The sequence below is a fragment of the Homo sapiens genome, chromosome 14 (genome assembly GCF_000001405.40).
Source record: "Homo sapiens chromosome 14, GRCh38.p14 Primary Assembly".
Taxonomy (NCBI): domain Eukaryota; kingdom Metazoa; phylum Chordata; class Mammalia; order Primates; family Hominidae; genus Homo; species Homo sapiens.
In genome coordinates, this window is record NC_000014.9 from 81,366,814 (window position 1) to 81,381,090 (window position 14,277).

General features: G+C 38.8%; 1 protein-coding gene across 15 annotated transcripts in view; it reads right to left on the reverse strand.

Moving 5' to 3' along the window:
- Positions 1–14,277, reverse strand: part of STON2 (stonin 2) — a 175,814-nt gene that overhangs the window by 106,162 nt on the left and 55,375 nt on the right. For all 15 annotated transcript variants that reach the window (XM_024449736.2, NM_001366850.2, NM_001366849.2 and 12 more), the window contains one exon: positions 4,175–4,372. In XM_024449736.2, the coding sequence (XP_024305504.1) occupies positions 4,175–4,372 (198 nt within the window). The remainder of the gene's footprint in view (positions 1–4,174; positions 4,373–14,277) is intronic.

The following is a 14,277-nucleotide window of genomic DNA, read 5'->3' on the forward strand; positions in this document are numbered from 1 at the left end:
AGAGAGATATTAAATTAAGATTTTTTTTATTCCTACAGCACTTGGCACTGTACGAAACACCTTCATATATACCCTGTCACCCTGACTGAGCAGGATCGCTCAGTTCCATTTTACAGATAAGAAAGTAAAGCTCTGAAGAAATGACTTACCCGGAGGACAGACTGATGGGAATCTGCCCCATAACCCCAGGGGGTTTCGGTTTACCCAACTGGAACCATCCAGCCTCAAAGCAGGGCTCTCCCAGAGGTTGGCACTGCCACAAGCCTGGTGCCAGGCAGAGGGCAGGGCATCACCTGGCTGGAGGGCTTTCCAATGTGTACAGATATCCTTGAAGCTCTCGATAGCTCATCTGAAAGCATTTTTTTCTTCCTTTTTTTTTTTGTGAGACCAAGTCTCACTCTGTCAGCCAGGCTGGAGTGCGGTGGCACGATCTTGGCTCACTGCAGCCTCCGCCTCCTGGGTTCAAGCAATTCTCCTGCCTCAGCTTCTCAAGTAGCTGGAATTACAGGCGCGCCACTATGCCCAGCTAATTTTTGTATTTTTAGTAGAGACGGGGTTTCACCATGTTGGCCAGGGTGGTCTCAAACTCCTAGCTTCAAGTGATCCACCCACCTCAGCCTCCCAAAGTGCTGGGAATACAGGCACGAGCCACCATGCCTGGACAAATGAAAGCATTTTTAAATTCCCTGCTACTGGAGTAAATGGTTAAATGTCACAGGTTGAAAAATACTTGTTCATTCTCCTAAACTTTGTCTTTCCTTCTCCTCCTTCTATTCTGGGACCCAGGATGAGGTGAAGACTTTTCAAAGCCAGAGCTCTACCCTGATAGCACACGTCAGGATGTTCAGGAAGAGCCTCATGGGTTATTACAGCTCAGGATGCATCCAGACACTGTCTCCATGGCCTGCGGAGCTGCTCTCTGAGGACTCACTTCACTGCCCCTCATTTCCCAGGCTCATGGAGATATACTACCTGTCACCTCTGGGCCTGGAGGGCAGATGGAGGTAAGATGCAAAGGAAGACTGCGTCCGTCAAAGCAGATGGAAGCATTCCCTAGCACCTGGGCCATCCTGGGTCCTAGCTTAATTACTAAAGAATAGGGAGATTTCAAAGTAAAATGTCCAGACATTTGTTTATAGAACATAATACTGTGGGCACACAGCAGTTATCTGTAAGCATTCATATCTGTCAAGGACATATGGACTTTATCCTCAAGCTCTGCCTGCTACACATCTTGTTTTAAATCCCTTGGTCCTATTTATATTAAAAATAAGCCAAGGCAAAATATGTATATATGCTTGTATGCATCCTCTATACATATCTGTATGGAAGGTCTGGGGGGTAACATAGCAAATAAATAACTATGGTGACTGTTTGGGAACTGGCTGGAAAAGGATTTGGAAGTTTCACTGAAATTCAGGTCATCCATTTCTCAGTGGTGTTCTCTTAACAAGTTGCTTCACCTTTCTCAGACTCAGTGTCAACTAGGAAATGGGGAGAATGACACCTGCCTTGCAGGATTGCTGTAAAAGCCACAGATCATACACCTCATATGCTGGCACACAGCAGACACTCAGTAAGTGCTAGCTATAACTATTACTACTGTAAAAGAGGATGGGGCCAGGCATGGTGGCTCACGCTTGTAATCCTAGCACTTTGAGAGGCCAAGGCAGGTGGATCACCTGAGGTCAGGAGTTTGAGATCAGCCTGACCAACATGGCGAAACTCTGTCTCTACTAAAATAACAAAAATTAGCCAGGCGCGGTGGCACACACCTGTAATCCCAGCTACTTGGGAGGCTGAGGCAGGAAAACTACTTGAGCCTGGGAGACAGAGGTTGCAGTGAGCCGAGATTGCACCATCGCACTCCATCCAGCCTGGGTGACAGAGCGAGACTCCATCTCAAAAACAAACAAAAAAGAGGATGGTTGCCAAAAGGCCATACCTCTACCCTCCTTGTAGCCATAGAAACTGCCTCTTGTTGAATAAGAGCATCCCTCCTCATTCTCTAGTCCCAGATTTGCCTTTGAGTCTCTGGTGTAAACTCTGGCGTAGGGGCCAGTTAGTTTCTGGTGAGGATCAAGTGTGCTGGCTATTCCAACACACCTGTTTGCCGCTTCCAACCTCAGATCCACTCTATCTGCTCTGGCGACTGACCTCTGTGGGCTGCTTCCCCAGGGCTTCATGTCCTTTGGCCTCAGGCTAGGATCTACTAGTTGGAAACACCAGCACCAGATTTGGGAATTTATTCCTCCCTATCTCCCTGCTTGGTCAAATCTCTGCAGTGGCTCTGTCCTTTCTGTCGCCATAGCTCCTGTTGGGCAGTCCCTTTTCTATGATTCCAGCGCTTGCTTTCTCTGTAGGTGGTCCCTTCATTAAGCTCTCTCCAGATAAACCTTTTTAGGGCACCATCTGCTTCCCGCCAGGACCCCAACCAAAACAGGGGAGGAGGTTTTCTTGATGCAAACTATGACACTGTTAGAATGACTTTAGAACAAGGAGATGTTAAAAATAATTATAAGCTGTGGAGGCAGACTAATAATGTCTAGTTCAGGCTAGGGCTCTGATTTTCATCACTTGAACCTCCAAGAATTAAAGCAACTTTCATCTAATAAGAAAGTAGATTAGGCAATGAAAAAACAGCCTCAGCATAGAAATCTTGGCTTTTCCTTCAGTGAGGGGCCCATTTTGCAACTCTCCAAAGCAACAAGAACCTTGCAGCAGGAAAGAGAACTTGTTTCAACCCTGATGGCCACTTATTCTGTGTCAAGCATCACATAAGTTATTCTACATAAACTGTCTCATTTGGAGATGATAACTTGGTGAGGTATACCCATTTTTCAGATGAGGAAATGGAGTCATAAAGATAGTAAGCTGGTCAGTGCAGAATCAGGGTTTGAACCTGAGCAGTCTGGCTCTGGAGTCTGGGTATGCATATGGGCCTCCTCCCTGGAAAGGCCTGGAAAGGGGGCCCAGAGCAATGAAAAGTGAAGCAGGGAGGCAAGCTCAGCCTCTCTTCCTAACAGCCTCAGCTGCTGAAGGTGTGCTCGCATCCATGAGATGCCCCCACTGTGGAAATGGGGCTGTGGGGGCATATTTCAGCCACCAACCAGGATCATCAGTCACAGAGACAAACCAGAACTGAAGGAGTGTCTGTGAAAACAAAATGCTATAAAGAACCACAGCTTCTGAAGACAAAGGGAGTCCATGATAAACTAGGATTCTCTGCAACATTATCAAATACCAAACCAAATCCTGCCTGAAGCCTTCAGTCTACAAGACAGATCGCTCTCTATACTTGTAGAATTGAATGGCACATAGCATGAGGGCAAACATCCGAAGCTTAAAAATGATCTAGAAACTCTGAACAACATTGAAGAGGAAAAACAAATCTTGTCAACACACTGGGTAATTTCATCCACAGAGAAACGAGCAGTAACTTCATCACTTTCAGAAGAAACCAATCTCTCGGGTCAAATAACCAAAACACCAAGAACATCTTTCCAATGCCAAGTATCTTTCCAGTGCCATTCCCAAACCTTGCCTGTAATTCAGCACTTGTTAACAGACCCATATTCCACCTGCAAAGAAAGCCAGCATTCCATCTTACACCTACTGGAAAGTTTAATAAAGGAGGCATAGTGCATTGCCGATTGATGTATCACTCAACCAAGGCACAACAGAATAAACACTTAACTGCCAAATGATTTGTAGTCTGGACACAGTGGCTGAGTGTTGATTCTCATTCTGTTTTATATAACATTCGTTTTCTCTGCTTAAATCTACCTCCCTCTTATTGAAAAGGCAAGATGCATGGGTAGTAGGATGAAAGATTCAGCCTTGTGCATATTTACACACGTTCAGTAATTCCAGGAGAAAATAAATTGACAGAGAATGGTATTTATACCAAACAGTCAGAAAACAACATATTAAGATACACTGTCAAATGGTTGCCGAGTATGAATAATCTGCCAACCAAGGATCCAATTTGTGTATACATCTTCCCCAATGCAATTTCCAGCCACTTTGGGTTCTAGCTTTTTGACTGGATAACAACACCTGAACTCATTCTGCAAAGGAAGCCAGCTGCAGCAATTTTTAAAAGGACTTTAAAGTGGACCTGGGTACACCAAAAGTGATTTGCAAAGCCCTCTGGCTTAGAGCTCCATCTTACCAGTTGAGTCAGCCCCAGAAGCCTGGCCACTCGTCTGCTCCTCAGCATTGATGAGCTGCAGATCTGTATACGAACATCCAAAGCTAGGACTGCTGGTGTCTTCAGAATGGGTGGTCCAGCTGCTCTCAGAAGTCAGAGGGCATCTCCCCAGGGAGTCAAAGGAAGGGCATGTCCAGCAGGGCATGGTCAATGGTAGGGCTGGGGAGAGACCAAAAACCAAAAGCATACAATATAAATAGTTGTACTTTGTTTATCTTTAGTGCTTATCTTACTTTGATGTTGCTCACATCATATGAAATCTCAACAGTCATATGAGGCAAGGAAGTCTTGTATGGAGAGTATCACTCATGACACAGACAGGAAAAACTGACTGACTGAGACCCCATGGTGAGTCAGTATCAAAACCAGTACGAAAAGTAAGGTCCTGGCTGGGTGCGGTGGCTCACGCCTGTAATCTCAGCACTTTGGGAGGCTGAGGTGGGCGGATCACGAGGTCAGGAGATCGAGACCATCCTGGCTAACACGGTGAAACCCCGTCTCTGCTAAAAATACAAAAATTTAGCCAAGCATGGTGGCTGGAGCCCGTAGTCCCAGCTACTCGGGAGGCTGAGATAGGAGAATGGCGTGAACCCAGGAGGCGGAGCTTGCAGCACTCCAGCCTGGACAACAGAATGAATGAGACTGAGTCTAAAAAAAAAAAAAAAGAAAAGAAAAGAAAAGTAAGGTCCCAGGACTCTCCAATCAAAGAAAATCTCACTAAAGGAACACAAGTTACTTCAGGGTCTAATTTCACTTCTTAACTTAGATTTCAGCTTTTTTCAAACCCAAACTACAGGAATCTTGCAGTTTCACCCTTACTGTTACATTTCCTCCATTTTTAGTGGCACAAAAAAACTCACCAATTTACACTGAAACATTAGAGCCAGTTTAGGTTAAAGGATAAAGAGTAGATATGTAACTATATATGAACATGTATGTGGCATGCCCCTGCTTGCTTTGAGTTGACTGTAACTGGAGATTCTGCTGACTGTCACATTTACAAATGGAGATTTACTGAGGCTGCCAACCTGCTGCAATACAATGAAAAATACCTTTAAGGGGAAAATGTACAAAACTTGGCTTTATCTCCTTAGTCTTGAGAACCAAATCAGACTTTAAAAACTACTTTAGAAAGGTTTTTTAAAGTCTTTCAAATTTGAAACTTTCGAATTCTCCTAATTTGTCTTTAGTTAATTTCCTATCACATGCTGCCTCCACGGTGCTGCATAAGAATCATATCATTACGGCCGGGCACGGTGGCTCACGCCTGTAATCCCAGGACTTTGGAAAGCCAAGGCGGGTGGATCACCTGAGGTCAGGAGCTCAAGACCAGCCTGCCAATATGGCAAAACCCCGTCTCTGCTAAAAAAATACAAAAATTAGCTGGGCATGGTGGCGGGCGCCTGTAATCCCAGCTACTTGGGAGGCTGACACACAAGAACCGCTTGAACCCAGGAGGCGGGTGTCGCAGTGAGATCGCGCCATTGCACTCCAGCCTAGACAACAAGAGATAAACCCTATCTCAAAAAAAAAAAAAAAAAGAAGAAGAAGAATCATATCATTGCAAATTTACCAACAGGTACTGAAACAAGTGCTGAAAATAACCTAGATAAGACAGGAAGAATGAAAACAAGAGAAACTACCATGTATTGAGTACCCATCAAATGTCAGGTATTTTACAAATGTCTTGTTTCATCCATCTATCCTGAGAGATAGGCAGTAGTCTTATTTTAACTCAAAGACATTAAGAAACTTGCCCAAGATGATAATGTCAGTTCTCCTGCCGGGAAAACCAAAACAAATAGAAAAAGAAAAATTGAGATTTAAGAGAGAAGAAAGAATAAACATCAATGCTTGCAATAGTATAAATATAAAATTTTTCATTCCTTATTCCCTTAGGCATTTGTAAAGCATTTAGGTCCTTTTTCTGGAGTTCTCATTGTTCATATCCTCTTTTCTTTAAAAATGTCACCCTTTCTGCATATTCCTGAGTATTCTCTCCAAAAATGCGAGGTCCCCTTCCCTGCTTTATTTGTCCTTAGTGTTATCACTGTCTAATGTACTACACGCCCATGTCTTCCATACTAGAATCCAAGCTCCTTGAGGGGGCAGGGATTTTTGTCTATTATGTTCACTTCTATACCCCCATTCCTGGAATAGTGCCTGGTATAAGGCAGGCATTCAACAAATATTTGTTGGTTATATCAACAGAAGCACCACAAATCATTCCATAACAGTCTATACTAAATACAGAATATTAAAATTGGACTGGTATCTATAACCCCCACCCCAAACATAGAAAAAAATTAAAATACTAAAAAAGAAGAAAAGATAAAAATTTTTTATAAACCAACCAAAAGTAAAAAGCAAAGCCAAATTTATAAAAGCTTGCTATATGATGCCATTTCCTATAGTATGGTGGTTAAGATACTTTAAACTACTATGGAAATACAATTAAAATATTTGTAAAATGTAATAACATTATTTAAAATGCATCACACGGTGAGCAACAAAGTAAAGAATCATCAGAGGCCGAGTGAAAGCTGCAACCCCAAAAGAGTAAACAGAGGACACAAGCTGATTTTCACTCTCAAGATTTTGAACAAACCAGACTCTTGAGTTTTCCAAATCTCTTATGAAGAAGGCAAACAATAAAGAACCTAGGGCCAACCGAAGATGGGGAACAGAAGAGCTGACGCATAAAGTGAGAATTCCTAAAAGTCTTAAAGGGTAAGTTAGAAATAACCTCCACCCTTAGCTGAAGATAGGAAAGAAAATTGTCTGCCTTAGGATTGCATGAAGAGTAGAGGAAAAAATATCTCCTGAGAATTAATAACCACAAATTTTTTCACATAGGGGTGTACAGCTAAAACTACTTGTGTGGTCTGAAAAACCTCCAAGTTGAGACTAGTTTAAGTACTTCCAGGTTAGTAGCCTCATGTATCTAGGAAAAGCAAATACTATAATAATGCCTTTTTTTTTTTTTTTTTTTTTTTTTTTTTGAGACAGACTCTCGCTTTGCTGCCCAGGCTGGAGTGTAGTGGTGCAATCCCAGCTCACTGCAATCTCCACCTCCCGGGCTCAAGTGATTCTCATGCTTTAGCCTCCCAAGTAGCTGGGACTGCAGGCTCCCGCCACCATGCCCGGCCGATTTTTTTTTTTTATTTTTAGTAGAGATGGGTTTCACCATGTTGGCCAGGCTGGTCTTGAATTCCTGACCTCAAGTGATCCATCTGCCCACCTCTGCCTCCCAAAGTGTTAGGATTACAGGCGTGAGCCACCACGCCCGGCCAATAATCCCTTCTGAAGGAAGATACCTTCAAACCAGCCTCCTCAGACAGAATGTTCCTAAGTTGATGTGCACATGGCAGAAAAAATAATAAATAATAAATAAATAAATCACAAAATGCATAAGAAATCAAGTTACCATGAACAAGAACCAGCAAAGTGTGTGGGTGGGTGGGGTGAACAGGCAGAATGAGATCTGCAAAGAACTTTCAGACACTAGAATTGTTGAGCAAAAAATACAACTGTTTAATCTGTTTAAGGAAATAAGAAAAGAAATTAAAAATATGAAAAAGGAGCATGTACAATTGAAAAAGAACTAAATAAACTTCCAGAGAAGAAAAATATGCTACTGTAAATACAAAATTGAATGGATAACATAGACAAAAAGATGAAAATATGAAAGAGAGATGAAGACACACGGAGGGCAGCGTGAGACAGTCTCATAGATATCTAATATGAGTTCCTAAGGAGAGGAGAAAGAAAATGGTAGAGGGGCAATATTTGAAAAAATACTGGTTGAAAATTCCCTAGAATTTATGAAAGATTTTACTTGTCAGATTAGAAATTCCAAGATATCTCAAGCAGGGTAACTAAAAATAAATCTACAAATAGACACCAAAAATACATAAGACCAAAAACAAAGAGAAGATCTTAACAGCCATCAAAGAGAAAATACACATTACCTTCAAACGAAGAATGTTTAGACTGACTACCACCTCTTTCCAGAGCAGGAGAAGCCAATGTGCACTTCAAAGTATAGACAGAAAAATAACTATGAAGTTAGAATTACATACCCAGTGAAATATCTTCACAGAACAGGGAAAAAATAAAGACAATTCAGACAAACAAAAACTATAAATATCCTTAAAGGAGGAAAGAAAGGTGAAATAAAAGGAATGTAAGAGGTTAGAAATAAAACTATATCAGTACTTAAAAATAAACATAAATGGACTAAGCATTCAAGACAAAAAGACTGACAGGTTGAATTAACAAATGAAATTTAACATGGTATGCACAAAAAATATATCTAAAATACAAAGGATTATCAATGATGAAAGTAAAGGGATGGGAAAGCCATATAAGATAAAATATTAATGAAAAGAAAGTTGATATAGTTATAGATTATGGATAGACTTTACAACAAAATGATAAAAAGTACAATTCATCAGAAATATATAATCCTAAACTTGGATATATTTAATAACATAGCCTCAAAATTATTAATGCAAAAATTGACAGAACTGTAAGAAAGTAAGAAATGTCCATCATCATAATGGAAGATGTTAAAATACACCTCTCAGTTATTGATATATCAAGCAAGCAAAAATATCAGCAAGCAAACAGAAGCTTTAAACAACAAAATGACCACGCTGATCTAATGATCATAGAACATTACACTCAACCGGTGAAGAATGCATATTTTTTATAATAACACCAAGAATTTTTATGATAAGTGATAACATGCCATCACTTGACATGAAGCAAGCTGGAACAAATTTCAAAAAATTGGTATACAGACCACAAATACTGGTTATGATACAATTAAGTATCTAGTTATCTAACTAGTTGTCTGGTTAACTAGTATCTAGTTGTCTATACTAGATAAAAAACAATTTGAAAAATTTAAAAATTAAGAAACATACTTCTAAATAATTCACTGGCCAAAGAAGAAATATCAATAAATATTAGGAAATATTTTGAATCAAGCAATAATGAAAATACTATATGTGAAAATTTTAAGAATATATGTAAGCAGTATTGTCAGCTTATATTAGAAGACAAATGAAACTTCATACAGTAAGCTCCCAATTTATTAAGATACAAAAGTAGAGCAAAATAAATCACAGAATGTTAGAAAAAGGAAATAATAAATATAAAATCATAAATTATTTAAAAAATTTTAAAATACACAGATAAAATGTTCTTAGAGAAGACTAATAGAATTAAAAAGAGTGCAAATAACAGTAGGAATGAAAAGTGTACACAATTACAAATACTATATTCAGAAGGCAATGAAGGGAAATAATAAATGTCTTTATACCAATACATAAATACGGATAAAACTATAGAAGTCCTAGCAAAATATAACTTTTCAAAACTGATTCAAGAAGAAGGTTAAAAACCTGACTTGTCCAATAACCTTGAAATAAAGTGAACCAAGACTTAAAACCTTCCCACCAGAAAAATGTCAGGCCAGGTGCTTTTACTGAAAAGTTCTATCAAACGTTAAAGGAAAAAGAAAAAATTTTAATCTTCCACTAACTACTCCAGAGTACACAAGAAGAAAGGCCACTCATCTACTCATTTTATAAGGTTAGCATTTGTAAGGTTAGACACCAAAACCTGACAATATATACCCAATTTATATGTAAAGTCTCTAAAAGGAGAATTACAAAATAATCTCAATCATGGACATAGGTAAAAGGATCCCAAACAAATTATCAAAGAGAATTTAGTGATCTATGGAAAGGAGAATTATATAATGACTAAATTGAGTTATCCAATTTATACAAGGTTGGTTTAACACAGTGTTTCTCAACCTTTTTCTCATTATTGTCCCCCTAAGGAAACTTCTTGTACATTTTTTCCCCTAATCACTCTCTCTTGAATTCCCGTCCTCTAATAGAATATTACAATCAGAAAATTGACATTAATACAATCCACCAATCTTATTCATATTTCCCCAGTTTTACATGTACGTGGGGGTGTGTGTGTATCTAGTTCTATGCAATGTTATCAATGTGTAGGTACATGTATCCACCACAGTCAAGATACAGAACAGTTCCATCACTGCAAGGATCTTTCCTGCTGCACTTTCATAAGCATGCCCATTTCCCTCCTACCTTGCCTCCATCTCCATACTCTGTTCCTAACCTTTGACAACCACTAATCTGTTTTTCATTTCTATAATTTTGTCATTCCAAGAATGCAATATAAATGGAATCATGCATTATACAACTTTTTAGGACTGGCTTTTATTACTCAGCATAATGCCTTTGAGCTTCATCTGAGTTGTTGCATGTACCAGTAGTTCATTCCTTTTTATTGCTGAGTAGTATTCCATGATATACATATATCAGTTAGTTTCCTTCTTTCTCCATCAAAGGACATCTAGGCTGTTTTTGGTTCTTAGCTATTATGGATAAAGCTGCTATAAACATTTGTGTACAGGTTTTTGTATGAACGTAAGTTTCCATTTCTCTGGGATAAAGTCCAAGAGTGCAATTGCTGGGTCATACGGTAATTGCACGTTTAGTTTTATAAGAAACCACCAAACTGTTTTCCAAAGTGGTTGTACCATTTTATATTCCCACCAGCAATGCATGAATGATCCAATCTCTCGGCATCCTCACTAGCATTTAGTCTTACCATTACTTCTTATTTCAGTTATTCTAATAGATGTGCAGTGAAAGGATCATTTTAATTTGTATTTCCCTAATGGATAATGATATTGAATATCTTTTCATGTGATTACTTACTATCTCGATACATTCTCTTTGGTGAAACATATGTTTATTTCTTTAGCTCATTTTTTTGTTTTTTTTTTTGGAAGATGGAGTTTTGCTCTTGTTGCCCAGGCTGGAGTGCAATGGCATGATCTCAGCTCACCACAACCTCCACTTCCTGGGTTCAAGCAATTCTCCTGCCTCAGCCTCCCAAGTAGCTGGGATTACAAGCATGTACCACCACGCCTGGCTAATTTTGTATTTTTAGTAGAGACGGAGTTTCACCATGTTGGTCAGGCTGGTCTCAAACTCTCGACCTCAAGTGACAGCCCACCTTGGCCTCCCAAAGTGCTGGGATTACAGGCATGAGCCACCACACCCAGCCTAGCCCATTTTTTTAATGGGAACTTTTTACTGTTGGGTTTTGAGATTTTTCTATATATTCTAGATACTAGTCCTTTTGTTTTTATTCTGAGACAGTGTTTCACTCTGTTGTCCAGGTTGGAGTGGAGTGATGCCATCTCAGCTCACTGTAACTTCCACCTCCCAGGTTCAAGCGATCCACCCACCTCAACCTCCAGAGTAGCTGGAACTACAGGTGCACACCACTATGCCTAGTTAGTTTTTCATATTTTCATAGAGATGGGGTTTCACTATGTTTCCCGGGCTGGTCTCAAACTCCTGGGCTCAAGTGATCCACCTGCCTTGGCCTCCCAAAGTGCTGGGATTACAAGCATGAGCCACTGTGCCTGGCCTGATACTAGTCCTTTGTTGGCTGTGGTTTGAAAATATTTTCTCCCAGTCTGTAGCTTGTCTTTTCATCCTTTTCACAGAGTTTTTGCAAAGTAAAAGTTTTTGAAATTTTAATGCTACACATATATTTTGTTTACTTTTGTACTGTATATATATATTATAGCTATTCTGTATACAACAAAAATTACAATTTATTTGCCCTACTCAAGAACTATTTTTAGCCCCCTTGGGGATAATATCACCCTGTTGAGAATACATGGGTTAACATTAGAAAATCAATTAATGTAATTCACTGCAATAACATATTAAAAGAGAAAAATCTTACCATCATAGTATAGAAAAAGCACTAAAAATAAATTTTAGTCTTTATTCATGGTAGTAATTTTTAGCAAATTAGAAACAGAAGGACTCCCTAAACCTAACAGAAATACCCCCCAAAGCTTAATTAACCCTTGGAGATTCTGATCAAGATGGTGATGTTCATTATCCTCTCTTCTGTTCAACATCATATTTATGATCAGAGCCTGCACAGTAAGGCAGGAAGTGAAAAGAAGTAAAAGAAACATAACTGTCATTATTTGCAGATGATATTTTTGTATATGTAAAATAACCAAAAGACTTTACCAATAAGTTAGCAAATTAATAATGTTAGCAAGGTATGCTTGTTAATTAAAAAATCAACATATAAAAGTGAATTGTGTTTCTGAAAGCCAGCAAGAAATATTTAGAAAATGAAATTTAAAGCAAGACAGTATTTGTAATAGCAACAATAAGTATGAAGCATATGTAGTATCAAACCTAACAAAAAATGTGCTAAGCCTTAGAGGAAGTATTTCTAAAGTTTATTAACAGACAATAAAGAAGATTAAATAAATGGAGAAAGATATATATGGAGATATATATATGGAGATAGAGATAAATAGATAAACATTTAGAGATTGAAAGATTTAACGTTGTAAAGATGTTAATTCTCCCCAAACTGGTTTATAAATTTACTTCAGTGTCAATTAAAATTCTAGCATGGCAAAACAATCCTAAGCAAGAAGAACACAGCTAGAGACATCACACTACCCTTTTCAAACTACACCACAGGCTACAATAATTAAAACTGCATGGTATGGTATAAAAACAGATACACAGACCAATGAAATAGGTTAGAGAACCCAGAATAAAGCTGCACACCTACAACCATCTGATCTTCTACAAAGCCAACAATAACAAGCAATGGGGAAAAGACTTTCTATTCAATAAATGGTGTTGAGAAAACTGCCTAGCCATTTGCAGAAGATTGAAAGTGGACTCCTACCTCTCACTATGTATAAAAAATAACTCAAGATGGATTAAAGGCTTAAATGTAAAACATGAAACTATAAAAACCCTAGAAGAAAATGTAGGGAATACCATTCTGGACATTGGCCCTAGCAAAAACTTCATGACAAAGATTCCAAAAGCAATTTCAGTAAAAACAAAAATTGAGAAGTGGGACCTAATTAAACTAAAGAGCTTCTGCACAACAAAAGAAACTATCAACGGAGTAAACAGACAATCTACAAAGTGGGAAAAATATTTGCAAACTATGCATCTGACAAAGGTCTAATGTCAAGAATCTATAAGAAACTTAAATCAACAAGCAAAAAACAAACAACCCCATTAAAATGGGCAAAGGCCATGAACAGACACTTCTCAAAAGAAGATAAACATACGGCAAACAAGCATATGAAAAAATGCTCAATATCACTAATCATTAGGGGAATGCAAATCAAAACCACAATGAGATACCATCTCACCCCAGTCAGAATGGCTATTATCAAAAAGTCAAAAAATAATAGATGCTGTTGAGGTTGCAGAGAAAAGAGAATGCTTACACACTGCTGGTGGGAATGTAAATTAACTCAGCCACTGTGGAAAGCAGTCTGAAGATTTCTCAAAGAACTTAAAACAGAACCACCATTTGACCTAGCAATCCCATTACTGTGTATATACCCAAAGGAATAACAACACATGCACACATATGTTCCTTGCAGCACTATTCACAATACCAAAGATGTAGAATCAACCCAGATGCTCATCAATGGCGGACTGGATAAAGAAAATGTGGAACATATACACGATGGAATACTACGCAGCCATAAAAAAAATGAGATCATGTCCTTTGCAGCAACATGGATGGAGCTGGAGGTCATTATCCTAAACAAATTAACCCAGGAACAGAAAACCAAATACCACATGTTCTCACTTGTAAATGGGAGCTAAACACTAAGTACACACAGAAATAAAGAAGAAAACAACAGACCCTGGGGCCCACTTGAGGGTGGAGGGTGGGAGGAGAGTGAGGATTGAAAAACTACCTATTGGGTATTATGCTGATTACCTGGGTGAAAAATTATCTGTAGACCAAACCCCCATGACAGGCAATTTACTCAGGTAACAAACCTGCACATGTACCCCTTGAATCTAAAATAAATGTTGGAAAGAAAAAAAAATTATAGCATGGCTTTCACCCATATTAACAAGCAGAATCATACTATTTAGAATGAATGAAGCTGAGTTTTGAGTAATATATTTATAAGTATTCAT